Source organism: Homo sapiens, chromosome 16 (assembly GCF_000001405.40).
Source record: "Homo sapiens chromosome 16, GRCh38.p14 Primary Assembly".
In the NCBI taxonomy this organism is placed as follows: domain Eukaryota; kingdom Metazoa; phylum Chordata; class Mammalia; order Primates; family Hominidae; genus Homo; species Homo sapiens.
The window spans coordinates 4,389,290-4,415,062 of NC_000016.10; the positions used below are offsets into that span (position 1 = coordinate 4,389,290).

A 25,773-nucleotide genomic window follows, 5' to 3' on the forward strand; every position below is an offset into this window, starting at 1 on the left:
GAAGCTCACATGGTGGGTGGGGCCCTGTCCTCCTGGGCCCTGGCAGTGGGGAGCTGAGGGGGCCAGAGGAAATGCAAACAGCTCCTCCCAGTCACCCTGGCCCCTGGAGCCTGAGACGAAGGACCCTGTTACCAAAAATAGCTCACCCCAAACCATGGCCAGCTTCCTCCGAACTTCCCACGATCTCCTTGGGAATGAATGAGGGAGGGAAGCAGCCTGCGAGGAGCTGGCCTGGGGCCCCCTCCCCAGCCCGTGGAGGCTGACTCCAGCGTGGGAGACCATCGGAAACGGCTCCAGGTCCCGTCCTTCGAGGGGCTTTTCTCACTGTTCCCTTCCCACCAGGCTGTGGCCGGCACAGGAAGTTGGGGCTGGAGCCTGAGAACCAAGGCCCCACTGCCCTCTCTCCACGTAAGAGGGGATATCGGGTCAGGACAAGGGTCGAGCCATTGGCCAGCCCTGCCCTCAACACCCGGAGAGGGTCACAGTGTCATTCAGGCTCCTGCCCTCTCGTTGGTGTTTGTTGTGCAAATATCTGCGTGTGTGCAGCCCACCAGGTGGCTCTTAGCTTGTCCAAAAGTCACTCATTCATTCAAGAAACACACAAGGCCTCCCAGGGGCCAGAACTGTGCTAGGAGCTGGCAGTGGGGCCGGATGGTTCTCAGATAGAGGGCAGGTGCTGGGGGGAAGCAGTGCCCCTCACTCATCTGTTCTCTCGTCATATGGGTATTTGAGCCACACACTATTCGAGATGACATGGTGAATAAAATGGGGAAAGTCCCTGTGCCCGTGGAATAAACACATCGGGGAGGTAGATGTAGGCCAAAGAGAAATCAGTGTGTCATTCCCTGTGACTATGCATGCCATGGGGGAGCCGCACGGTGTTAGGGGAGGAAGCTCTGGAGGTGGACCCAGGAGAGCCCCAGCCTGGCCACCTCCCTTGGTGGGTCAGTCACTAGCTCTGTGCCTCAGTTTCCATGTCTGTAAAAAGCACTGTAACAGAATTTACTTTTTTTTTTTAACCTTTCCTATGGTGCTGAAGGACCTACTTTTGAAGACGGCCACAAGGAGTAAGAGGGAACACTTGTAGAAGGCTCAGGATTGTGTCTGACACGTGTCAAGTGTGCATGTCTCACAGCTGATAGCAGGGTACCGCCAGACTGTAAGTGAGGGAAGACCTAGCGTCATTCCTGCTAGGCTGGGAGGGTTGATAGGCGTGAGCCAGGTATGGGAACTGGCATCTGCAAAGAGTTGGAAACTGGAAGCAGAGAGACCCGCTCAGCCAGCAGGTGGGGACGAGGGAGGCGGAGGCTGGGCCAAGCCTGCAGGGTCCCCCAGGGGCTGCCACTGAGCACTTTTCACCTAGGGGCACAGGCTAAGGCTAGGGGTGGGACGCCCTTGGCCTGTAGCTCCCACCTTCCTAATTCACATGTGGGAAGCCTAAAGGCACAGAGAGACGAAGCCATGGTGCAAAGTGGCTTGGCCCCAGCTGTCTCCTCCACCTGCACAAGATGGACGTGAGGCTCAGAGTGGTGATGAGGCTTGCACAAAGTCGCAGCTAGGAGGCAGCAGGGAAGGGAGGAGGAGCCGCCCAGGACCACAGCTGCCCCAGAAACGCTCTGCTTCCAGCAAACATCCTGGGCCAGCTCTTGCTCCCTGGAGCATTCAGCCCAGCCTTCAGAGGTCCAGGTAAGAGCTTTGTCCGTGCCCAGCCACTCCCCAATGTGGGTACACCCAGCTCAGTTTGCCCAGAGACCACAGGAAGCCCCCAGGTGAGGGAGGGGGTCAGTGGCCCACCCCTTACCCTGTAACTCCTCATCAATGGAGTGATCACCAGTATCAAAAATGAGAGGTGGGCTGGGCGCAATGGTACCTGCCGTAATCCCAACACTTTGGGAGGCTGTGGTGGGAGGACGGCTTGAGCCCAGGAGTTCCAGAGCAGCCTGGGCCACAAACTGAAAACTTCTCTCTTAAAAAAACAAACACTAGGCCGGCACAGTGGCTCACACCTGTAATCTTGGCATTTTGGGAGGCCGAGGCGGGTGGATCACCTGAGGTCAGGAGTTCAAGACCAGCCTGGCCAACATGGTGAAACCCCATCTCTACCAAAAATACAAAAATTAGCTGGGCATGGTGGCAGGCGCCTGTAATCCCAGCTACTCGGGAGGCTGAGGCGGGAGAATCGCTTGAACCTGGGAGGTGGAGCTCGCAGTGAGCCGAGACTGTGCCCCTGTGCTCCAGCCTGGGTGACAGAGCAAGACTCTATCTCAAAAAACAAACAAACAAACAACCCAACTAGCTTGACGTGGTGGTGCGTGCCTGTAGTCCCAGCTACCAGGGAGGCTGACGCAGGAGGATTGCTTGAGCCCAGGAGGTCAAAGCTACAGTGAGCCGTGTTGGCGCCACTGCACTCCCGCCTGGGCGACAGAGCGAGACCCGTTTGCCAGCCTCAGCAAGCCTCAGAGAAGAGCCGTCTCCCCAGCTCCTCATTCTCCTGCATAGGGGGCAAGAACAGGGGCTGCAGCTGGGACCCAGGCATCCTGCTACCCTGCAGCCCCAAGAGGGCCCCCACCACCTAGCTCTGAGAATAGGAGGGGCTGTGGCAGGGCAGGAGCAGTGTCAGCCCCGCAGGGGGTGCAGGAGGGGAGGCGCGTGCCCGCCCCTTCATCACCATGGCGACACTTCCTGTGCAGGGCAGGATGGTTCCAGGAGCAGCCCTGGCTCCTTGCTGGGGTGAGGGGACCTGCTTCAATAGTAAGACCCCCCACTTACCCCCTTCCCTCCTCTGAGGTTCACCACCCCCCACTGGCCTGTCTGATGCACTGAGATTCCTAGAGGGCTCAATCCGGGGCCCCCTCCCGCCCAGACAAGGGTTCTGAGGCCTCGACACTCATTTGGGGCTGCCACTTTCCCAGAACAGCCTGGGCTCCAGGGCCTCACCCAGCCCCAGCTGGGCCGGTTGTAAAGGGAAGGGGCGGCAGTGGGGGTCCTGGGGGTTCTGCATCCAGAGGGGCGAGCCTGCCTCTGTCACCCTGAGGTGGGACCATGGAGAAGCCACAGAACCATCCGACTCTCGGGGTCTGCACCTCCGAGGAAGTGGAATATGCCAAGTGCCTGGCGCATAACAAAGGGTCATACATGCAGTATAAGAACCAAGCATGGGTGTGAGGAGGAGCCTCCCCAGGGTCCCCTGCTCAAAGCTCACGCCTGAGGCAGGGCTCCAACAAGACAGTGGAGGGCGGACTCCCTGGCCCACTCTGGGCTCCGGGATAGCACCAGGGCTCAGGTGGGGTGGGACCCACAGAGGACAGAGGTTGGATGGAGGGCAGGCGGCCCCGCTCCCTGACCCCCAGCCACACCCCACTAGGCAGGAAGGAGGATTGCCAGAGAAGGAGCTCCCAGAAGGCCTCTCCCTCGAGCCGGCCCCTCGGCTCACACCGGCCCTGGCTGCCAGCAGCGGTTTTCCTAATAGAAGCCAGGTGTGGGCCAGATGCCCTGGGCGGAAGTGGGGGGCAGGGCCACACGGAGAGCGGCATTCCAGGCCTGCTGCCCCCGCACCAGGGCCCGAGCACAGGCCCCAGCCAGCAGCTGGAAGGGGTGGGAGCCACCCACGCTCTTCCCAGGTCTCCTCGCCCCAAAGCCCCGCAGGGGGGCTCCCTCCAGAACCAGATCCTCTCCCTCTCTCTTCGAGGAGCTGGGAGCCCCTTGGATAGCAGCCACTCTATCCCCACCTCGGCATCAGTCACCGCCCCAGCCCTGCTGGAAGAGGAGGGGAGAGGAGGAGGAAGGCTGGAAAGAGGGGGCGGAGGAGGGGAGAATAGGAAGAATCACGTGGGCCCAGTGAGCTGGCTCAGAGCCATGCCCGGTAGGTCGGGGGCAGAAGCATAGGTGCCCCAGCAGTGCCCTGGGCTCTGGAGAGGAGAGTGCAACCTGAGAAAGTGAAGGGGGCCGGGGGAAGCCTCTGTGGCACCTTCAAGCTGAGCCTGGGCCCCGCTTTCTGGGCAAAGGCTTGGAGGTCAAAGAAAGCTACCTAGTGAGGATACCGTACACACCCACACTGCCTTGAGATGCAGACAGCCACCATCTACCAGGCCCAGGTCCCACATGACGAAGAGGTCAGCCAGCCTCACCAGCAAGTACGACCAGGGTGTGGCCAAAACCACCCTGCCTGGCTAGTTTCACTGCTTAAATGGGAGTCCTCTCGGTCTTCAGCTGGACAAAAGTGGAACTGACTGTACCGTTTGGACTAAAAAGCTGCAATCTTCCATGTGACTGGGTTTCTCTCCTGAGTCTTGTGTGTGTAGGGGGCTCTGGGGCTCCGGGCTACCACTAGTTTGGTTTGGGCTGGTGGTTTGCCCTTGACCCCGGGTGGGGAAAACGTCCTAGAAATGGGGAGGGGGTATCTATGATGGGCCTAGGTCTTTGCTGGGGAGCTCCTCTCCTGAGCTAACAGTAGGACCCTAAACTTCACCTTCCTCAGGGAATAAGCCTCCTCAGCTTCTAGAAAGTTCTTTTTAGAAATGTAAATCCATGGCCAGGAGCGGTAGCTCACGTCTGTAATCCCAGCACTTTGGCAGGCCGAGGAGGGTGGATCACAAGGTCAGGAGTTCGAGACCAGCCTGACCAACATGGTGAAACCCCGTCTCCACTAAAAATACAAAAAAATTAGCCGGGCATGGTGGCGGGCACCTGTAGTTCCAGCTACACAGGAGGCTGAGGCAGTAAAATCACTTGAGCCTAGGAGGCGGAGTTTCCAGCGAGCCGAGATTGCGCCACTGCCCTCCAGCCTGGGTGAAAGAGCAAGACTCCATCTCCCCACCCAAAAAAAGAAATGTAAATCTACTCATCGCACTTCCTGCTTAAAACTCCCTAATGGTGGCCGGACACGGTGGCTCAGGCCTGTAATCCCAGCACTTTAGGAGGCCAAGGCGGGAGGATCACGAGGTCAGGAGATCGAGACCATCCTGGCTAACATGGTGAAACCCAGTCTCTACTAAAAATACAAAAACAAAAATAGCCGGGCGTGGTGGCGGTCGCCTGTAGTCCCAGCTACTCGGGAGGCTGAGGTGAGAGAATGGTGTGAACCCAGGAGGCGGAACTTGCAGTGAGCCGAGATCACAACGCTACACTCCAGCCTGGGCGACAGAGCGAGACTCCGTCTCAAAAAAAAAAAAAAAAAAACTCTCTAATGGCTTCCCACAGCCCAGGTAACCATGGGCCCGTATCCCCCAGCGCCCCTCGCGCAGACCCCTCAGACAAGCCCGTCCTCCTTCAGGCCATCTATGTCTGCCCCCTTGGCATTACTCAGGCCTCTGCTCCCGGGCCAGTTACTCAGGGAAGCACTAAACCAGCCCAGCAAGAGAAGCCCCCAGCAACTACCTGCCTAGCACAGGCAATGTTTACGGAGCCAGACACAGGGCCCTGTCCCAGGGTTGTTGCTCCTGCCTACAAGGTCTCTGTAGGGCAAATGAACGGTGTCCCAGTGGCTGGATGCCTGCAGCATGAGCCAGGTCCCAGCTTCCCCGCTTGGAACTGAAATGGCCACGCACACTCCATGCACAGACACAAACCAGAACACGCTCAGTCCCTGGACCCTGTACGTTTTGACAGGTCCCACCCAGGGTCTTCCTGCAGAGGACAGGGGTTGTTTCTTTTTGGCTCCTCTGCAGCTGGTCTCTGCTGACCGTGCCAGGGTGAAGGTCTCAAAGGAAGGAAGTGGGAATCCCAGATCGCTGCCTGAAGCCACACGATGGCCTCCGTGGAGAGCCTGGGGGAAGCTTAGCTTCTGCCACCCGGTGATCAAAGCCAGGCCCTCCCAGGACCCACAACACACTTCACAGGAAGAGCTCCCAGCAGTGGTGGTCCACCTCCTGGGGACCCCTGGTGCTGCAGAACATGTCTGCCAGGACCCCAGGCCTGCCCCTACCTCCACCTGCTAGAACCACTGGGTCCTCAGCCTCAGTGGAGGCTTCAACCCACCCCAGCTTGCCCACACAACTCACCTGAGAGGCCCGCGGCTTTGTTCTGGGGTCAAAGATCCGCAGCTGCTTGTCCTGGAAAAGCAGAGAGGAGGAAACAACTTGCGATTAGGGCTGGAGGGTCCCTGGAAGCCAGCCTGCTCCCCTCACCTCCCAACCCCCAGCTCTGAGCAGCCCATCCCCAGCACGCAGGGCTGCCATCACACACCAGGGCATCCCTCCTCAGCCCTGTTCCTCCTCCTCAGCACAGCAGCAACCACCACCCAGTCCCCCAGGTTTCTGTGAGGAGTGTTCAGCTGCCTGAGACCTACTCAGTGAGGAGTGTTCAGCTTCCTGAGACCTGCTCCACGTCAGGCATCCCAGACACTCGACCCCTCCTACTCTTCCAACTACCCTATGAAGTGGTACTATCACCATGATCCCTCACAGACAGACAAACGGAGGTCCAGAACCAAACTCTAGGCTGTCAGCGCCCCACACATGCTCAGCCCTGTACTAGGCCCAGCCTGGAGAGGCTCATATGACGACCTCATTTCTGCACTTACAGAATTTAGCACTAACCAGGAAGACGAGCTTACACTTCCGAACCATCCATTCGGCAGTTATTGATTCAGATTATCCAAAGGGAGGATGGAAACAGACAAAAAGCAGAAAAAAATGTACTGAAATAAAGCACTCATGCTTTGTATAGACCTTCTTTCTGTGGAACAATGTGTGTGTGCATGCACACGTTGTGTGTGTGTGTGTACACAAACATTCATGCATAAAGAACCAGGGCACAATCTGTATCCACTACTACAGGCTGGGCCATAATAATTTTTTTTTTCTTTTTTGAGACAGAGTTTTGCTCTGTCACCCATGCTGGAGTGCAATGGTGCAATCTTGGCTCACTGCAACCTCTGCCTCCCTGGTTCAAGCGATTCTCCTGCCTTAGCCTCCCGAGTAGCTGGGATTACAGGCGCCCACCACCACATCTGGCTAATTTTTGTATTTTTGGTAGAGACGGGGTTTCACCATGTTGGCAGGCCGGTCTCAAACTCCTGACCTCAGGTGATCCGCCCGCCTCGGCCTCCCAAAATGCTGGGATTACAGGCGTAAGCCACCATGTTTGGCCATAATAAATTAAGTGCAAAAAGGAAGTTGTAGAATAACATGGCATAGTGTGATTCTACTGTGGTAAAAATCAACAAAAATCTCCATTTGTGTGACCACGATCCTGTTTGTTTTTATTGATACCCAACTATCATACAGCCCATACATTTTACAAGTTTGCTGAGCAAGGAGAAAGGTCTGGACTAACACAGGCCTGTGTGCTAATGCTAGGTATCAAGGGTGGGGAAGATGGGGGCTGGTTAACTTTTCCTTTTTACGTCTTAGCACAGGTCTATTTTGTTTCATTCAGCACAGATTCCTGTTTTCATATTTTGAAAAACAGTAAACAACTGGAATTTGAAATGAAAAACACCACCAGCCAGGCATGGTGGCTCACGCCTGTAATCCCAGCACTTTGCGAGGCTGAGGTGGGTGGATCACCTGAGGTCAGGAGTTTGAGACTAGTCTGGTCAACATGGTGAAACCCCGTTTCTACTGAAAATAAAAAAATTAGCCGGGCATGGTGGCAGGCACCTGTAATCCCAGCTACTCAGGGGGCGGAGGCAGGAGAATCGTTTGAACCTGGGAGACAGTGGTTGCAGTGAGCTGAGATTGCACCACTGCACTCCAGCCTGGGCAACAGAGTGAGACTCAATCTCAAAAAAAAAAAAAAAGAAAGAAAGAAAGAAAAACAACATCATTTGCACCAGTACAGATAAAAAAAACTTGAAATACTCATGCTCCTCAACATACAATGGAGTTACATCCCAATAAACCCGTCTTAAATTGAAAATATAGTAAGTATGGCCAGGAGAGGTGGTTCATGCTGGTAATCCCAGCACTCAGGGAGGCTGAAGCGGCAGATCACTTGAGGTCAGGAGTTCGAGACCAGTCTGGCCAATAAGGTGAAACCTCGTCTCTACCAAAAATACAAAAATTAACCGGGCATGGTGGCACGCACCTGTAATCCCAGCTACTCGGGAGGCTGAGTCAGGAGAATCACTTGAACCTGGGAGACGGAGGTTGCAATGAGCTTGCAGTGAACCGAGATCGTGCCACTACACTCCAGCCTGGGAAACAGACTGAGACTCCGTCTAAAAAAAAAACAAAAAAGCTGCCGTAGGCCAGGCACAGTGGGTCCTGCCTGTAATCCCAACACTTTGGGAGGCCAAAGTGGAAGAATCACTTGAGCCCCGGAATTTGAGACCAGCCTGAGCAATACGGCAAAGTCCATCAATGGACATTTCTCTCTTTTTGTATTTGTTTTTGTTTTTGAGATGGAGTTTCATTCTTGTCACCCAGGCTGGAGTGCAGTGGCGCGATCTCGGCTCACTGCAACCTCTGCCTCCCGGGTTCAAGCGATTCTCCTGCCTCAGCCTCCCGAGTAGCTGGGATTACAGGTGCACGCCACCACGCCAGGCTAATTTTTTGTATTTTTACTAGAGTCGGGGTTTTGCCATGTTGGACAGGCTGGTGTCGAATTCCTGACCTCAGGTAATCTGCCTGCCTTGGCCTCCCAAAGTGCTGGGATTACAGGTGTGAGTCACTGTGCCTAGCCTTTTTTGTTTGTTTGTTTTTGAGACAGAGTCTCGCTCTGTTGCCCAGGCCCAAGCGCAGCAGTGCAATCACAGCTCACTGCAAATCAACCTCCTGGACTAAAGCAATCCTCCCACCTCAGCTTCCCAAGTATGTGGGACCACAGGCACAAGCCACCAGGCCCTGCTAATGTTTTAATATTTCTTTCGTAGAGATGAGGTCTCACTATCTTGAGCAGGCTGGTTTTGAACTCCTGGCCTCGAGTAATCCTTCTGCCTCAGCCTCCCAAAGTGCTGGGATTACAGGTGTGAGCCACCAGGCCTGGTTTGAATATACATTTTAAAAATATATATATAGAAATGGCCAAAAAGCGTATGAAAATATGTTCAATATCACTAACCATTAGAGAAACACAAATCCAAACCACAGTAAGATATCCCCTGACACCCATTAGGATGCCTATTACATTTTTAAAAATAGCAAGTATCAGGCCGGGCGCGGTGGCTCACGCCTGTAATCCCAGCACTTTGCGAAGCCAAGGCTGGGGGGAATCACTTGCGGTAAGGAGCTCGAGACGAGCCTGGCCAACATGGTGAAACCCCGTCTCTACTAAAAATACAAAAATTAGCCGGGCGTGGTGGCGTGCACCTGTAATACCAGCTACTCGGGAGGCTGAGGAAGGAGAATTGCTTGAACTCAGGAGGTGGAGGTTGCAGTGAACCGAGATCATGCCATTGCACTCCAGCCTGGGCAACAGAGCAAGACTCCATCTGAAAAAAAAAAAAAAAATTGCAAGGCTGGGCGTGGTGGCTCACACCTGTAATCCCAGCACTTGGGGAGGCCAAGGCGGGCGGATCACAAGGTCAGGAGTTCAAGACCAGTGTGGCCAACATAGTGAAACTCCGTCTCTACTAAAAATACAAAAATTAGCTGGGTTTGGTGGTGTGAGACTGTGTTCCCAGCTACTGGGGAGGCTGAGGCAGGAGAATCGCATGAACCCAGGAGGCGGGGGTTGCAGTGAGCTGAGATGGCACCATTGCACTCCAGCCCAGGTGACAGTGCGAGACTCCGTCTCAAAAAAAAAAAAAAAACAAAACCAACTGTTGGTGGGTACGTGAAGTTAGAACCCTTGCACACTGTTGATGGGATTGTAAAATGGTGCAACTGCTATGGAAAACAGTATGGCAGTTCCTCAAAAAATTAAAAATAGACCTAGCATGTCTTCCAGCAACCCCACTTCTGGGTACATATCCAAAAGAACTGAAAGCAGGCCATGAAGAGATATTTGCACACCCATGTTCATAGCAGCACTACTCGCAATAGCCAAGAAGTGGAAACAACCCAAGATCTACTGATGGATAAATGGATAAACAAAATGTGGTCTGCGCATACTATGCAGTCTTCAAAGGCAAGGAAATCCTACTGCACGCCACGAGTAACCCTTGACGATGCAGCATTTCATTATGCTCAGAGAAATAAGTCAGCCCCAAAAGAGCAAATAGTATATGATTCCACTTATGTGGGGCATCTAAAGTAGTCAAATTATAGACACAGAAAATTATAGACACAGAAAGTGGAATGCCAATTCCTAGGGGCCGGGAGGTAGGGCAAAGGGGAACTGCTGTTTAATGGGTATAGAGTTTCAGTTCTGCAAGATGAGAAAATTCTCAAATCTGTTTCACAACAGTGTAAATATACTTAACACTACTGAACTGTACACTTAAAAATGGTTAAGATGGTGAATTTTGGCACTTTGGGAGGTCAAGGCGGGAGGATCATTTGAGCCCAGGAGTTTGAGACCAGCCTAGGCAACACAGTGAGATCCCTGTCGCTACAGAAAATTTAAAAAGTAGCTGGGCGTGGTGGCACGTGCTAGTAGTCCCAGCTACTCAGGAGTCTGAGGTGGGAGGACTGCTTGAGCCTTAGAGTTTGAGGCTGCAGCAAGCTAAAAAAAAAAGAAGAAGGTAAATTTTATGATATGTGTTTTCTTACCACAATTTAAAAAAATAGCTATTAGCCCACAAAAATACATTGCTAAGTTAAAGAAGCCAATCTGAAAAGCTACATACTACATACCATATAATTCCAACTATATGACATTCTGGAAAAGTCCAACATACAGACAATGAAAAGATCAGTGCTTGGCAGTGATCTGGGAGGAGGGCGGAAGGGATGAACAGGTGGAACCCAGGGGATGTTAAGAGCAGTGAAACTACTCCGTATAGTGGTTACATTATGTCATGCATTTATCACAACCCATAGAACATACAACACAGACTGACCCCTCATGTAAACTGTGAGCTTTAGTTAATAATAATGTATCAGGCTGGGTATGGTGGCTCAGGCCTATAATCCCAGCACTTCGGGAGGCTGAGGTGGGTGGATCACTTGAGGTCAGAAGTTTGAGACCAGCCTGGTCAACAAGGTGAAACCCCATCTCTAAAAATACAAAAAAATTAGGCCAGGCATGGTGGCTCACACCTGTAATCCCAGCACTTTGGGAGGCCGAGGTGGGTGGATCACCTGATGTCAGGAGTTCGAGATCAGCCTGACCAACATGGAGAAACCCCGTCTCTACTAAAAATACAAAATTAGCTGGGTGTGGTGGCACATGCCTGTAATCCCAGCTACTCGGGACGGGGAGGCAGGAGAATCACTTGAATCTGGGAGGCAGAGGTTGCGGTGAGCTGAGATCGTGCCATTGCGCTCCAGCCTGGGCAACAAGAGTGAGACTCTGTCTCAAAAACAAAAACAAAAACAAAAACAAAAAAACAAAAAGTAGCCGGGTGTGGTGGCACGTGCCTGTAGTCCTAACTACACAGGAGGCTGAGGCATGAGAATCACTTGAACCCAGAAGGCGGAGATTGCAGTGAGCTGAGATCGTGCCAATGCACTCCAGCAGTGCAATAATAATAATAATAATAATAATAATAATAATAATGTTTACCATTGGTTCCTCAATTGAAACAACGTACCACACTCACGCAGGATATTCATCACAGACACTGGGGGAGGAGGTAAGGAATATGGAAAATCCTTATACAACTTGCTCACTTTTTCTGTAAACTTAAAACTGTTCTCGAAAATAGTCCATCAACTAAAACAACCCAAAAAGAAATGCAGGGGAAAACCAAGTGAATTCCCGCTCCATGTGCAGCCCCTCCCTGAGAGATGAGTAGCCTCCCTGCTACTACCAAGTTCCAGGCTAAGTGCTGGACTCTGGGGCCTGGAGGTTGTCACGGGAAACCGCGGGGAAGAACTTAGACCTGGTCATGGAAGGACAAACAGAGCTTGTGCTGGGAAGGCAAAGGCATTCGAGGAAGGTAAAATAGCATGAGCAAAGAGGTGGAGAAAGGAACTTGCTGGTGTGTGGCGTTGGGGGAGGAGAGGCCACGTGAGGAGGCAGATGGTGGGAACCAAGGGGGCCGTGGGCACACGCATGGCTGGCAGAGGCGGGGGCCTGTCTGGAGAGGGCCTCAAAAGCCAGGTCTCCCTGGTCTGCCTCAGCAGGGCCCTGGTTTTATGCCGCTCCTGGCAAAGCCCTGCCAGCTGCAGTTTACCAAGCACCTGCTGCGTGCCAGGCGGGCACCAGGTACAGTCCAGGGACTGGCTCTTAAAACTCCACTACTCCACACCTCGGATTCAGAGGGATGGCGAGGGACAGAGAGAGGAGGATGAGAGACAGAAGACAGAGACCAGAGAGAGAACAGCGAGGGACAGCAAGGGATGAGAGAGGACAGAGTGGGACAGAAACAGAGCACAATGACAGAGCGGGCCAGAGAGAGCAAGTAGAGATCAAGGACAGATACAGGGGACAGCAGGAGACAGGCAGGACACGAGCGACAGCAAGCGACAGAGGCTCTCAGGAGATGAAGGGCAGGACACGACATCCAGCAGTCAGGGCTGCTCCTGCCCCACAGAGGTGCAGAGACCGACAGCCCGAGTCCAGATGCCAACACCACCACTGACCAGCTATGACGTGGGCAAGCCCCCGAGCCCCCTATGGTTTCTTTTTTTCCTTTTTTTTTTTTTTTGAGGTTTTAGTTTGTTTGTTTGTTTGTTTTGAGACAGAGTCTTGCTCTGTCGCCCAGGCTGGAGTGCAATGGTGTGATCTCGGCTCACCGCAACCTCCACCTCCCAGGTTCAAGTTATTCTCTTGCCACAGCCTCCCAAGTAGCTGGGATTACAGGTGCATGCCAACATGCCTGGCTAATTTTTGTATTTTTAGTAGAGGAGGGGTTTCACTATGTTGGCCAGGCTGGTCTTGAGCTCCTTACCTCAGGTGATCCGCCTGCTTGGCCTCCCAAAGTGCTGGGATTACAGGCGTGAGCCACTGCACCCGGCCAGTTTTGTTGTTGTTGTTGTTGTTGTTGTTTTTTAAGAGAGAGGGTCTTGCTCCATCGCCCAGGCTGGAGTGAAGTGGCTCAATCCGAGCTCACTTCAGCCTCGAACTCCTGGGCTCAAGCAATCTTCCTGCCTCAGCCTGGGACCACAGGCGCGTGCCACCATGCCTGTCTAATGTTTGCATTTTTTTTGTAGACATGGGGTTTCACCATGTTGCCCGGGCTGATCTTGAACTCCTGGGCTCAAGTGATCCTCCCACCTCGTCCTCCCAAAGTGCTGGGATGACAGGCGTGAGCCAGCGACCGGCCACCCGCCCAGCCCTGTGAACTGTGAGGATGCGGACAGCGCCACCCCTGGGCAGGGCTGGGCGCTGGGGCTAAGGGCGGAACTCACAGCACACACTCCATGAGGGCAGCTGGGCCACCCTCATGGAGGAGCTTAACGCGGGGTCCAAACCAGGGTTCAGAGTGGGCACTGAGGCTGCTCTGGCTCAGCGGAGAGGAACTGGGCTGCAGAGGCCGCGTCCTCCCCGGCTCATCAGGCTCAACCATGCCGGGAGTCAGGAGCGCAGCAGGCCGGAATGGGCCATCCGTGAGGAGAGCGCGCCCCCTAGCGGCCTCCTGCCCCTTCTCTCCCAGCTCGGGAGGCCCCTTCACCCAGTGGGAGTAGCTGAGAGGGAGCAGGAGGGGGCTTTGGTGGTCCTGGGAGGCAGACCTGCTCACACAGAGGCAGGACAGGAGTGGAAGCCAGGGGCACGGAGGCTTCCCCGCCAGGAAGGAGATGGGGCGGGGGTGGGGGCACACTCTGGTGGAAAGTCCCATGACCCCCCACCCCCATCCCCATCAGGCAGCCCGTGGCATGAGCAGCTCCAGTGCATAAACCCAGAGCCAGGTGCGGCTGCAAAGAGGGGCTCACGCTCGCTCCTGGTGTGGGGTGGGCCCATCCAGCAGCTCCAGCCACAGCTCAGGACAAGCCCTCGCTCTCTGCACACTCATGGGCATCACTGGCTGCCCTACCACAGTCAGGCCGCCCCCCACTCCCGGCTCCATACTGCCAGGGTTTCCAGTGTAGGATGCCCCCACCAGGACCCCGATGTACTCCCTTTACAGCAAAAGAAGGTGGCAGCCGACCCAGGGCTGAGGTACCCATTGGCCCTAGACTGTGCTGACAGGTGCGGCTTGGAGGCAATGCTGCGTCCCCGCAGGCGGAATTCCTAGGTCCAGGAACCAGGGAAGGAGGGGGAGTCGTTCCACTAAGCATCACTCCCACGACCCACTTAGGAAATGTGTGCTTCTCGTCCCTGCAACTTTAAGCTCTGGGTTTAGCGGGGGAAAACACATCCACTGGGGAAGCAGCAGGAGCTCCTCCGTCTGTGACTCCTATGACTCTTCCTGCAAGACACCAGTAAGCAAGGAGAAGAGTGGCCAAGCCGGTGGCCCATGGGGCTGCTCACTGTCCTTCCCTACACAACTGTGATAGTAAATAGGGCTCGGACCCCCAGGAGGAGGGCCTGGACCACCACACCTGTGACAGAGGGGCAGAGACAGTTTCTCAAAGAAAGATGTCACGGTCCCAAGGCAGCCATCCCTGAGTCCTGCTGAGACTACCCAGGCCATCCCCTCTGCCTGGGACGCCCGTCCCCTCCTTCTCAGCCAGGGCTCATCCCTCAAGGACCGGCCTCGAGCTCACTCTGCCTGGGAAGCCGTCCCCAGCAGGGTTAGGTCAAAGCACGCATACCAGGTCTCCCCAGAAGGGGCTCCCTGGGGGCCTTATTGGCCCCCAGAGCTTAGGCCAGTCTCTCAGGACTCTCTGCTCAACGCACACCACAGAGGAAAAACTGATCAAGACTGGGAGATGCGGCTTCCACAAAAGCAGAGTACAGAAAAGAAAGTTAGACTAGGGTCCCTCCAAGTATGCAGAGCCCTGGGGCGGAATGCTCAGGTCTGGTAGGCCTCCCTGCCCTGCTAGCTCCTGTTCGGCTCCATTCCCAGGCCTCTCAGCCATTCTTCATGTGTCTTCAGGCTCGGCACACCTCCAGAAGGGCCCTGATGGGTGCCCTCATTCCCAGCAACCCCGACAGGTCTTCAGAGACCCTTGGTGGTACCCACGGCCGCCTCCCTGGGGAAGCCCTTTGGCCCTGGTTTCAGGCTCCAGCCTGGTCCTGGCTTTCCTCCTCCCACCTCCTCCCCTGCAGGCTCTTCTCATCCCCTCCTGGGGGCAGCACTATGTGGTCAGCAAATCAAACAAACGGGACCTTTTCACCTGCAGCCGGATTCTGCTCAGAGCCCCTCTGGGCCCAGACTCCACTGACACCTCCAGGTACCGCCGGCAGCTCAGCAAGGCTGCAGCCACCCTGGAGCGGCTCTGCCTAGAACATTCACACCAGGTGCTCCTCTAGCGCCCCCTCTCTGCCACAGCACATCCCCGTCCCAGTGACAGGCCTCTCCTACTGCCTCAGGACCGCCACGCCTCCCACCCAATCCTTCTCCAACACTTGGCTTCCTCCTCCCAAAGGTCTCCGCCACTCCCGGCAGAGAACAGCTCTCACCTCCCCGCAGGCTGCCACGCATCCCCCTGTAGACACTGCCCCTCCTGCCACACACTGTCCATGTGGTTCCAAATGCGAATCCGCTCCCCTCACTGCACCACCTGCCCTACTCTGGCCTTTAACACTTCATTGCCTTCCCATTACCCCTACGGCAACAGGCACAACCCTTACTCACCACCCAGCACCCGCCTGCCCCGCACCTGCCTGTCCTGGCCCCGATCCCTGCCTGAGGCCACGCGTCCCTGGCCTGTCCAACCAGCTCAAAGCACCATGTCCCTCTTGCAGAGCCCAGGTCACGGGTCCTCTTGTCTGTACTGTCCTCGACGGAAGTCACCTCCCCAGCAACTGGGGCCTGGCCCAGCACCTGCGGCCGAATGCTGCTTAACAAGAGTCTTGCAGAAAGGCTGGCGGTTCAGACAGACCAGACAGGCGGCCAGAGGAGGCTGCCTGAGGGTGGCGACATTAGGGCGCAAACCAGGGACCAGCGTGGGCTCTCATCTGACAGGGGCCTAGGCAAGGTAGGGGCTTCCAGATGTAGGTGAGCGGGGGTGTGAGGAGCAGCTAGGGGGCAGGGCACACAGATGACCATCCTGACCTCAGTGCTCCACTGCCTCCTAAACAACAAGCCTGGAAGGCCCAGCCCAGGGGGTCCCAGCCCAGGAGGCCTGCACAGAGCCCCACAGGGCATCCCCACCTGCCTGCTCACCTTGCACGCCGTGCCCACCAGGGCTCCATCTCGGCTCCAGACGGCGCTCTGCACCAGGTCCCCATGGGCTGCCAGCTCTGCAGAGAAGCAGTCACAGTCAGGTCCCGGGCAGTGAGGGCACCAGGGAAGTGGGTGGGGGCGGGCCTTGCTGGGGGGAACTCCCAGAGCAAAGGCAGCAGCTACGAGGGTCCTTTTCAGCCAAGGGGGCAAGGGCAGCAGCTTCTCCCAGACAGGCTTCCCCTGCACCACAGGCTGCTTCCTTCACCCCACCTTTGTGCAGCCGTACATCACTCAACTACCTTCCGAGGCTTCCCGCTCCTGGCCTGGCTCTCTCATCCCTCCCAGGCTCACTTCCAACATAGCTCCCCACCAACAGGGTCACTCCTGCCCTAAGCCTCTATTCCTGCCATCTATACTCTCCCTCGCTAGTGTGAGGTCTTAAAATACTTCTCTACATTCTCTGCAACTCCTGTTCCAGGTTAAATTGTGCTCCCCTAAAAAGATGGTGAAGTCCTAACCCCCACTACTTTTCGGAGGCTTGCTCTGTCACCCAGGCTGGAGTGCAGTGGTGCAATCTCAGCTCACTGCAATCTCCGCCTCCTGGGTTCCAGCAATTCTCCTGCCTCGGCTTCCCAGGTAGCTGGGATTATAGGCACCTGCCACCATGCCCAGCTAATTTTTGTATTTTTAGCAGGGACGGAATTTCACCATGTTGGCCAGGCTGGTCTCGAACTCCTAACCTCAAGTGATCCGCCCACCTCGGCCTCCCAAAGTGCTGGGATCACAGGCATGAGCCACCGTGCCCGGCCTATTATTATTTTTTGAGACAGCATCTCACTCTGTTGCCCAGGCTGGAATGCAGTGGTGTGATCATAGCTAACTGCAGCTTTCACCTCCTGGGTTCAAGTAATCCTCCCACCTCAGCCTCTTGAGTACCTGGGACACAGACAGGCACACGCCACCACGCCTGGCTGATTTTTTAATTTTTTGTAGAGATTGTGTCTCACTATGTTGCTCAGACTAATTCTCAAAATATTGGGCTCAAGCGATCCTCCCATTTTGGCATCCCAAAGTGCTGGGATTACAGGTGTGCGCCACGACGCCCATCCAAGAAGGTTTTTTTTTGGTTTTTTTGTTTTTTGTTTTTTGTTTTGAGATGGAGTCTTGCTCTTGTCCCCCAGGGTGGAGTGCAATGGCACGATCTCTCTTCGCTCTCCATAGCCACTGCAACCTCTGCCTCCTGGGTTCAGGCAATTCTCCTGCCTCAGCCTCCTGAGTAGCTGGGATTACAGGCACCCGCCACCACACCCAGCTAAGTTTTTGTATTTTTAGTAGAGACGCGGTTTCACTATGTTGGCCAGGCTAGTCTCGAACTCCTGACCTCGTGATCCACCCGCCTTGGCCTCCCAAAGTGCTGGGATTACAGGCGTGAGCCACCGCGCCCGGCCAAAGTTATTTTTTATTTTTATTTTTTTGAGACGGCATCTCACTCTGTCACCCAGGCTGGAGCGCAGTGGTGCAATCTCGGCTCACTGCAACCTCTGCCTCCTGGGTTGGAGCAATACTCTTGCCGCAGCCTTCTGAGTAGCTGGGATTACAGGTGTGTGCCACCACGCCCGGCTAATTTTTGTATATTTAGTAGAGACGGGGTTTTGCCATGTTGGCCAGGCTGGTCTTGAACTCCTGACCTCAGGTGATCCACCTACCTCGGCCTCCCAGAGTGTTGGGATTACAGGCATGAGCCACCGCGCCCGGCCATTATTTTTTTAAATGGAGAAAAACAACAGAAAAAAAAAAAAACAGGTAAGAGGATGAAACTGATGGCTACGGAGAGCAAAGAGAGATGGGGTGTTTATTACAGCCTCATAGAATCTTAAGACTTTTATACTATGTAAGTGTAAAACTTTGATATCTGTTTTTAAATTTATGTGACTAAACATGCCAACAAAGAAACGGAGTGCTGTCCAGAGTGGGGCTGCCCTGGGAAGGGCAGGCCAGGGTGGCCTGTACCTGTCAGGGGCTGCTGCTTGGCTGCGTCCCAGACCTTCACAGTGGTGCCTGCTGCGCTCACCAGAATGCCGTCAGAGGTGGGGTGGAACTGCAGTACCTCCACTGGGAGGTCCTCGGGGCCCAGCACCACCCCGGGTGCTGAGGGCAGGGCCTGGCCAGGCCCTGGCAGTCGCCAGAGTTTTACCTGCAAGAAAGACCAAGTCCGTGAGCACAGGGCTGAGGGCCTCACTGCCTTGAGTCAGCTGCCGTGACCCCAGTGAGGTCCCGTGTTGGAACTAGGCTGCTCCAGGAGACCACACACCTTGGCCTTGGGAGGAGCGCCCACCCGCCTCAGCTTGCTTGGGCCAGGGGCTGCATACCCCACATCCGAGAAAGGAGGGAGGGAATCTCAGCTCCTAGACCACACGGTGTGGTCCCAGAGTTGGGGAAGTGGCTCTACTGTTTCTGGCAGCATCCCCACCTGCTGTCCTCGGGCTCCAGGTCAGGTCAGAGCCACGGCTCCAAGCAAGCCCTTGGGAGCCAGTGTGGGACCAGGAATTCAGACCAGCCCCGCAGCCCTGGGGAGTGGGGTGGGGCTGGACTGGGAGGCAGCAGAGCCCTGTGGGGATGGCGCTGGGGCTCAGAAGGCCCTGGACTACGGGCTGGGACATAGAGCAGCTCTTCCAACTGGCTCCACTCACCGTCCTGTCAGCCGAGCCTGTGGCCAGGAGGAAGTCATCAAAGGGCGAGAAGTCCAAGTCGGTGACTAGGTCTGTGGGAGAGGAATGGCTGAACCCACCGGAATGTCCTGTTTCCAACCCAGTATGAAGCAAAGCCCAGGGCTTCCGAGGTGACACTTTTGTGTGCACACAGAAACAGGCTACAAGTCTACAAGGGCCCTCTGGACACCATGGGGGCAAATGCCACAGGCCCCTCCTGCGACATACGTCCCCGAGGGCCCTGCTGACCCAGGGTGGCCAAGGGCTCTGGCATCAGGAGGTTGGCAGGAAATGGGCAGGAAGCCGCTTGAGTCACCAGGCACCTGCAGGAACGCAGCTGCCCAGCCCGACCCCTCCTAGGGCAGCACAGCCCACTGCTCCTTCAGTCGTGGAAGGTCCCCAGGACTCAACTAAGAAATTGCTTTTTGGTTAAGCAAGCCGGAGTTGGCTTTAGTTCTTTGCAACCAAAGAACCTGAATGGTGGCCGGGCATGGTGGCTCATGCCTGTAATACCAATACTTTGGGAAGCCAAGGTGGGCAGATCACTTGGGCTCAAGAGTTCAAGACCAGCCTGGGCAACACGGTGAAACCCCGTCTCTACAAAAAATATAAAAATTAGTTGGGTGTGGTGGCGGGCGCCTATAGTCCCAGCTACTCAGGAGGCTGAGGCAGGAGAATTGCTTGAACTCAGGAGGCAGAAGTTGGAGTGAGCAGAGATCACACCACTGCATTCCAGCCTGGGCAGCAGAGCCAGACCTTGTCTCAAAAATTAAATACTAAGAACTTGAACGGCTCAGCTCCAGAGGTGGGGAGGGGTAGGTGGGGTGCACAGAGTGAGCCAGACCCCAGAGGGAAATGCGGTGGGTGGTTGGGGAGGTAGAGACTAGGCATGGAGGGTGGCGGGGTTTCGGGGTGTGAACAGGACGAGAGGTATCACCAGAGCTGGGAGCACAGCGACCACCTGCTGCTGTCTGCCTCCCAACAGGGCTGAGCAGGACTGTCTTCCTCCCGGCCTCAGGAGACAGGGAAAAGATAGGACGGACGTGCACAGGCACATCTTGGGATAGCCCTGGCCTGGAATCCCAGCTGGCAGGACCACAACATTCCTGGGCCTAAAGCCACAGAACCCCTGCTGCCCTCACTCTGGGGTGTGCTTGCTGGGCCCTGCAGGGCAAAGCAGGTCCCTGGGCAGGTGTAGCAGCTGGCACAGGCGGGCTGGCATCTCAGGCGTGAATGAGATGTGATGACATAAGCAATCTGAGTGCTCAGCATGTGCTGGCACCACAGATGCCCAGGGGTTGACACGCAGGGACCTCACTGAATCCTCATAAGGATGCAGCAGGTGGCACTGCAGCAGCATCCCCTACTGGAGGATGAGGACGCCAAAACCCAGAGAGGGTGAGTAACTGCCCCAAGTCACGCGGCTAAGAGACAGGGCCAGCTTCAGAACCTGTGCTGCTCAGCATGACATGCTGCTGCCTTTTCCCACTGGAGCGGGCCCCAGCTGCCGCCCCACAGCCTGGACATCAGAAACGCACCCAGAAGTTGCTCACCCTCTGCTCCCCTGGCTGCTGGGCGGAAGGGCAAGAGTGGCCCTGAGCTGAGAGGCTGAAGGGGCCTCTGAAGGCAGGGCAACAGCCAGAGCCCCACCTGGCCATTTCTCCCGACACCGGCACCTCTGAGGCAGAAGGGCACCTGGTGCCTCTAGGGCAGGTTCCAGGGGTGCTGGAGCTCACCTTCCCATGAGCAGTTTCCCGGCAGGGCTGCTCATGCAGGCAAGGCTCTGAACAGTTGCAGCCACAGTGAGGCTATGGACTTGCCTACAGGACCCTGGTCCAGCTTCTACTTGAAGAGCCCTAGTAGCAGAGGGCTCACCACCTTGCAAGCATCACCAACTTGGGCTAGCTCCCTCATAGATAAAAAGCATCAAAAAGTCAAACATGAAGCCAGGTACATTGGCTCATGCCTATAATCTCAGCACTTTGGGAGGCCAAGGTGGGAAGATCACTTGAGGCTAGGAGTTCAGGACCAGCCTGGGCAACACAGCAAAACCCCATCTCCACAAAACATAAAAAAATCAGCTGGGCATGGTGGTGTGTGCCTATAGTCCCAGCTACTAGGGAGGCTGAGGATAGACGATCCCTTGAGCCCAGGAGTTCAAGACTGCAGTGAACTATGATTGCACCACCACACTCCAGCCTGGATGACAGAGACAGAGACCCTGTCTCTAAAAAGACAAACCCAAACACAGGCTCCTATAGACCTGGGTTCTGATTCTGGCCCTGCCATAACAATGGGTAAGTTCCTAACCTTGCAGGAGTCTCAGTTTTCATAGCTATAAAATGGGTTGTTTTAAAACCTACTTCAAAGAGATCTGAGATTAGATGAGAACAGACTTGTTATACAAGCTGCCACACACATGTATCTCTAAAACAACATGCTACGTGAAAGATGCCAGATTCCAAAGACCGTGTATTGTGCGATTCCATTTGCGTGAGATGCGCAAAAGAGGCCCCTCTATAGAGGAGAGGCCAGTAAACGTCTCCTGCGAAGGGCAAGGCGGTAAATATTCTAGGATTTCAGGGCTCAACAGTCTCGGTCACAACTCAACTCTGCAGTTGTTGCAAGAAAGCAACCACAGACTATACATCAATGAATGGGCGTGGCAGCGTTCCAATAAAACTATTTACAAAAACAGGCAGCCAGCTGGATCTGGCCGTGACAGTAGTTTGCAGACCTCTGCCACAGAGGCAGGAAGCAGATCAGCTGTTGCCTGAGGCTGTGGTATTGGAGGTGGAAATGGATTAACTGCAAAGGGGCATGCGGGATCTTTTGGGGATGATGGAAACGTTCCAAAACTGGATGGCAGTGCACATGACTCGGTCACTTTAATAAGAATCATCAGGCTCTTTACTTAAAACAGGTAATCTGACGGGGCCCCAAAACTTTGGGAGGCCAAGGCGGGAGGATAGCTCGAGGCCAGGAGTTCAAGACCAGGCTGGGCAACATAACAAGACCCCATTTTACAAAAAATTTTTAAAAATTAGCTGGAGGGGTGGTGGCATAAACCTGTGGTCCTGACAACTTGGGAGGCTGAGGTGGAAGAATTGCTTGAGCCCAGGAGGTCAAGGCTACAGTGAGCCATGATTATGCCACTGCACTCCAGCCTGAGTGACAGAGCAAGACCCTGTCACAAAAACAAACAAAAAACAGGTAACGTTGGCTGGGCCTGGTGGATCACACCTGTAATGCCAGTACTTTGGGAGGTTGACTTGGGAGGATTGCTTGAGCCCAGAAGTTTGAGACCAGCCCGGGCAATATAGCAAGACCTCGTCTCTATATACTTTTTAAAAATTTTTTAAAAAAGTTTAGATGAGAAAACTCAGCTAACGTACTTAGTACAGAGAGCAATCTCCATAAATCTTTACTATTGTTATTAACCACCATCATTATCATATCAGAACCCCTCCACGACCCTGCACACCCAGCCTGAGGACCAGGCATCAACTGCCTTCCCTCACCCGAAGGCCTCCAAACAAGCAGCCAGAAATGCAGGCCAGAGAGACTGGGCCCGCGGCCGCTGCAGCTGGACAGTGAGAGGCGAGGCCAGCTGGGCTGCTCTGCCTCCATCTGAGGCGAGCAAACTGTTCCCTCGAGGCGGACAGCCTGCCAGGCAGGCTGCTGGACGCCCCCAGAAGCAGCTGCGGCACACAAAAGGTCTCTTTGTGAGGGCCCATCTCCACCCCTGCAGCCCAACACAGCGACCTCCTTGGAGGGCCCCGAGCGGCTGGGCTGGGGAGGATGCCTGGTGGAGAGGGGACTCCAGCAGAAGACGGAGGGCTCAGAGCCATCCAACGTGGAGTCCTCGGCAGGGACAGGGAGCCAGCATCAGCCTGGAGCCTGGGGCGGCCACTGCACACCCCGCTCCATCCAGCTCACAACCGGAGCACACAGCTTCCCTCCTCACTGCCCAGGCCGGAATTCTACACCAGGAGGAAGCCTTCTGAGCCCCACTGTCTCTCAGAGAGTGCACAGACAGGGCGACAGGAGGGACCTGGCAAGCCATGCGGCAGTGGGACCAGGTGAGGATGAATTTCTGGCCCTGGAGAGGGAGGTGCAAGTTTCAGGCTTCACCCACTAGTCAGACACCCACTCACCTGAATGGCAGCCCAGGTGGGCCACGCGTCGCTTGTCCTCTCCTTGGCCTTGCAGAGGCACAATGCCCAGTACACCTGTTAAACAAACACGGGGACTCTGACTTCAGGCCCCACAGGGCCACCCACCTCCTTGCCCAGGGATCCCAGAGATGAAATCCAGCAGCTCAGCCTCGGACCTTCCCAGAGCCTCTACCAATCACAAGATCATATCCTCTGCACGTAGCAATGGCCTGTGGGTAGGTTCTGGCCCCATGCATGAGCCATCCATGCCTCAGATGGATACAGAAGACATTAGGCGAGAGGTCCTCTCTTTTTAACACGGGTCATACGAAAGGGGCGTGGGGCTTTCGTATGGGGCTTGCAGCTACCGTCAGCCACTTTTCGCACTTTTACTTGAGAAAGAAGCCAACACCCAAGGTGGCAGAGCTGAGAGACCCAGAGAGGTCAGGGCCGACAGTACATGTGAGCCTTTGGGCACCGATCTGCCTGAAGCCCCTGATCTCTTAGTTAGGCTGAAACATTATCCATTTTTTGCTTAAGCCAGCTTGAGGGTCTGAGTTACCACTAGCAATCAAGAGAGTGCCAACCAACACACGGGCTTTTCAAGCCTTTCTGTTCCTACTGTCCCCAGCCATCCAGGGCCCAAAGATGAGGAGCAGGGAGCACAGAGGGACAGCTGGAAATACAAGCGTCAGTCCCCTCCCAGCCCTCCTGGCCATGCTCTTGCCTGTGGTTTGTACACACATATGTCCTAATCAAAAGCAATCAGATTACTGCGCCTGGACCAGTTTGTGGGGGTCTAAGGTCTGGCATGGGGCTCACCTCTGAGCCCCCCAAAGCAGTTCCGTTCCAAGTCTCCAAATACACCAAGCCTGCCCCTGCTCCCCACCCCATCTATGGTGACGATGACCGAATATGTGAGCAAATATCCACACTCATGGCCATTCCCTACCAGGACGGTCGGAGTTGAAGGCGATCAAGCTGCAGCTTGATTTGATGTGGTTCCTGCATGAAGGGGCGGTTCCTGCTCGAATGTCACTGATCCAGGACTGAAAATCAAGAGTAAAGAAGTATGTGGTGAGAGCCAGGGTTCCACCTCCATGCATGCCTAAAGCAAGAGGTGGGGCATAATCTGGGGAACTCTAGCTCACAGCTGCACCATTCGAGATGCATTCTTTTATTTACTTTTTTTTTCTTTTTGAGACAGGGTCTCACTCTGTCACCCAGGCTAGAGTGCAGTGGCGCGATCTTGGATCACTGCAATCTCTGCCTCTTGGGTTCAAGTGATCCTCCTGCCTCAGCCTCCTGAGTAGCTGGGATTACAGGCGCCCAACACCAAGCCCAGCTAATTTTTGTATTGTTAGTAGAGATGGGGTTTCACCATGTTGGCCAGGCTGGTCTCGAACTCCTGGCCTCAAGTGATCTGCCTGCCTTGGTCTCCCAAAGTGCTGGGATTACAGGCATGAGCCTCCGCCCCCAGCCGTGTTGTGTTACTTCAAATCAAACTCTGTCCCCACTCACGAAGTCCCTTAGGAAATGTAAAATGTGGGCCAGGTGCGGTGGTTCATGCCTGTAATCCCAGCACTTTGGGAGGCTGAGGCAGACAGATCATCCTGAGGTCAGAAGTTCGAAACCAGCCTGGCCAACATGGTGAAACCTTATCTCTACTAAAAATACAAAAATTATCCAGGCATGGTGGCGGGCACCTACATACAATTCCAGCTACTCAGGAGGCTGAGGGAGGAGAATCACTTGAACCTGGGAGGCGGAAGTTGCAGTGAGCCGAGATCATGCCACTGCACTCCTGCCTGGGCAACAGAGCGAGACTCCATCTCAAAAAAAAAAAAAAAAAGAAAATGCAAAATGTGGCCAGGCCTCCTCCAAGTACCCGGAGAAAAACACCCAAGCTCAGAGAGGGGAACCACCAAGGCCTGGCCTCATCAGGACACACCTTTCCACAAAGTCTCATAAGTCAGTAAAAGAAACACCCCCACCCAAGGGGAGGCAGAGGAGCACGTTTCTGAAACTAAGATCTGCAAGGTCCACACATTTTCTCTGTTGTCAAAGCACCGCTCAGCACTCCTTCCTGCCCTCGATGACAGGACACCCATGTTTCCCACTCCACCCACCCATAGCACCCCGGAAACCACCTCCACCACCTGAAGTTTCTATATCAGTGTTCACCTGCCATGGTTACAGCATCAGTCCCACCCTATTATTTCTCCCTCCTGATTCATGTTTACTGTATAAACACAGTGACTGCAAATATCTCTGAAAAGAACAGATCACCTGTTCTCCCGCCTCCCTAACATAAACTGTTTTAAGCTCTCCCTACAGTCTGTAGTTCCATGCCTATCTGTTTATGTTGCTGGACTAAGGCCCACCCAGGAGCAAGAATTAGGGCCCCTCAAGTATTCTCCAGACCCCTCCAAGCAGTACTTAACTGCACTCAGAGCCACCGGCTGTCTTGATGCAAACCTAGGTACCTCCTCCTAACTTTTCTTGTTTGTTTTTTTCTTTTTTTGAGACAGTGTCTCACTCTATTGCCCAGGCTGGTGTGTAGTGGCACAATCTCGGCTCACTGCAACCTCCACTTCCTCGGCTCAAGAGATCCTCCAACCTCAGCCTCCCAAGTAGCTGGGACCACGGGAGTGAGTCACCACACCTGGCTAATTTTTTTTTCTTTAACTTGTTGTTCAGAGGGGTT

At 54.8% G+C, this 25,773-nt stretch overlaps 2 protein-coding genes across 5 annotated transcripts in view, besides 3 other annotated features; both read right to left on the reverse strand.

Moving 5' to 3' along the window:
• CORO7-PAM16 (CORO7-PAM16 readthrough) overlaps positions 1–25,773 on the reverse strand; it is a 76,346-nt gene that overhangs the window by 49,039 nt on the left and 1,534 nt on the right. The window contains exons 2-7 of the mRNA NM_001201479.2: positions 24,019–24,115; positions 23,067–23,141; positions 18,892–18,962; positions 18,212–18,395; positions 16,202–16,278; positions 6,000–6,050 (exon numbers count right to left, since the gene is read on the reverse strand). Of these exons, the coding sequence (NP_001188408.1) occupies positions 6,000–6,050; positions 16,202–16,278; positions 18,212–18,395; positions 18,892–18,962; positions 23,067–23,141; positions 24,019–24,115 (555 nt within the window). The remainder of the gene's footprint in view (positions 1–5,999; positions 6,051–16,201; positions 16,279–18,211; positions 18,396–18,891; positions 18,963–23,066; positions 23,142–24,018; positions 24,116–25,773) is intronic.
• Positions 1–25,773, reverse strand: part of CORO7 (coronin 7) — a 62,055-nt gene that overhangs the window by 34,748 nt on the left and 1,534 nt on the right. The window contains exons 2-7 of one of the 4 annotated variants that reach the window (NM_001201472.2): positions 24,019–24,115; positions 23,067–23,141; positions 18,892–18,908; positions 18,212–18,395; positions 16,202–16,278; positions 6,000–6,050 (exon numbers count right to left, since the gene is read on the reverse strand). In NM_001201472.2, the coding sequence (NP_001188401.1) occupies positions 6,000–6,050; positions 16,202–16,278; positions 18,212–18,395; positions 18,892–18,908; positions 23,067–23,141; positions 24,019–24,115 (501 nt within the window). Of the gene's footprint in view, positions 1–5,999; positions 6,051–16,201; positions 16,279–18,211; positions 18,396–18,891; positions 18,963–23,066; positions 23,142–24,018; positions 24,116–25,773 lie in introns of all 4 variants that reach the window. The other 3 variants (NM_024535.5, NM_001351729.2, NM_001201473.2) reach the window with 3 other exon arrangements.
• Positions 1,375–1,926: an enhancer, noted in NCBI's record as "H3K27ac-H3K4me1 hESC enhancer chr16:4440665-4441216 (GRCh37/hg19 assembly coordinates)". NCBI's record gives its function as "activates a minimal SCP1, AML or CMV promoter by ChIP-STARR-seq in naive H9 embryonic stem cells {active_cell/tissue: H9 hESC(naive)}" and the evidence as "EXISTENCE:reporter gene assay evidence [ECO:0000049][PMID:30033119]".
• Positions 1,927–2,480: an enhancer, noted in NCBI's record as "H3K27ac-H3K4me1 hESC enhancer chr16:4441217-4441770 (GRCh37/hg19 assembly coordinates)". NCBI's record gives its function as "activates a minimal SCP1, AML or CMV promoter by ChIP-STARR-seq in naive H9 embryonic stem cells {active_cell/tissue: H9 hESC(naive)}" and the evidence as "EXISTENCE:reporter gene assay evidence [ECO:0000049][PMID:30033119]".
• Positions 12,716–13,452: an enhancer, noted in NCBI's record as "H3K4me1 hESC enhancer chr16:4452006-4452742 (GRCh37/hg19 assembly coordinates)". NCBI's record gives its function as "activates a minimal SCP1, AML or CMV promoter by ChIP-STARR-seq in naive H9 embryonic stem cells {active_cell/tissue: H9 hESC(naive)}" and the evidence as "EXISTENCE:reporter gene assay evidence [ECO:0000049][PMID:30033119]".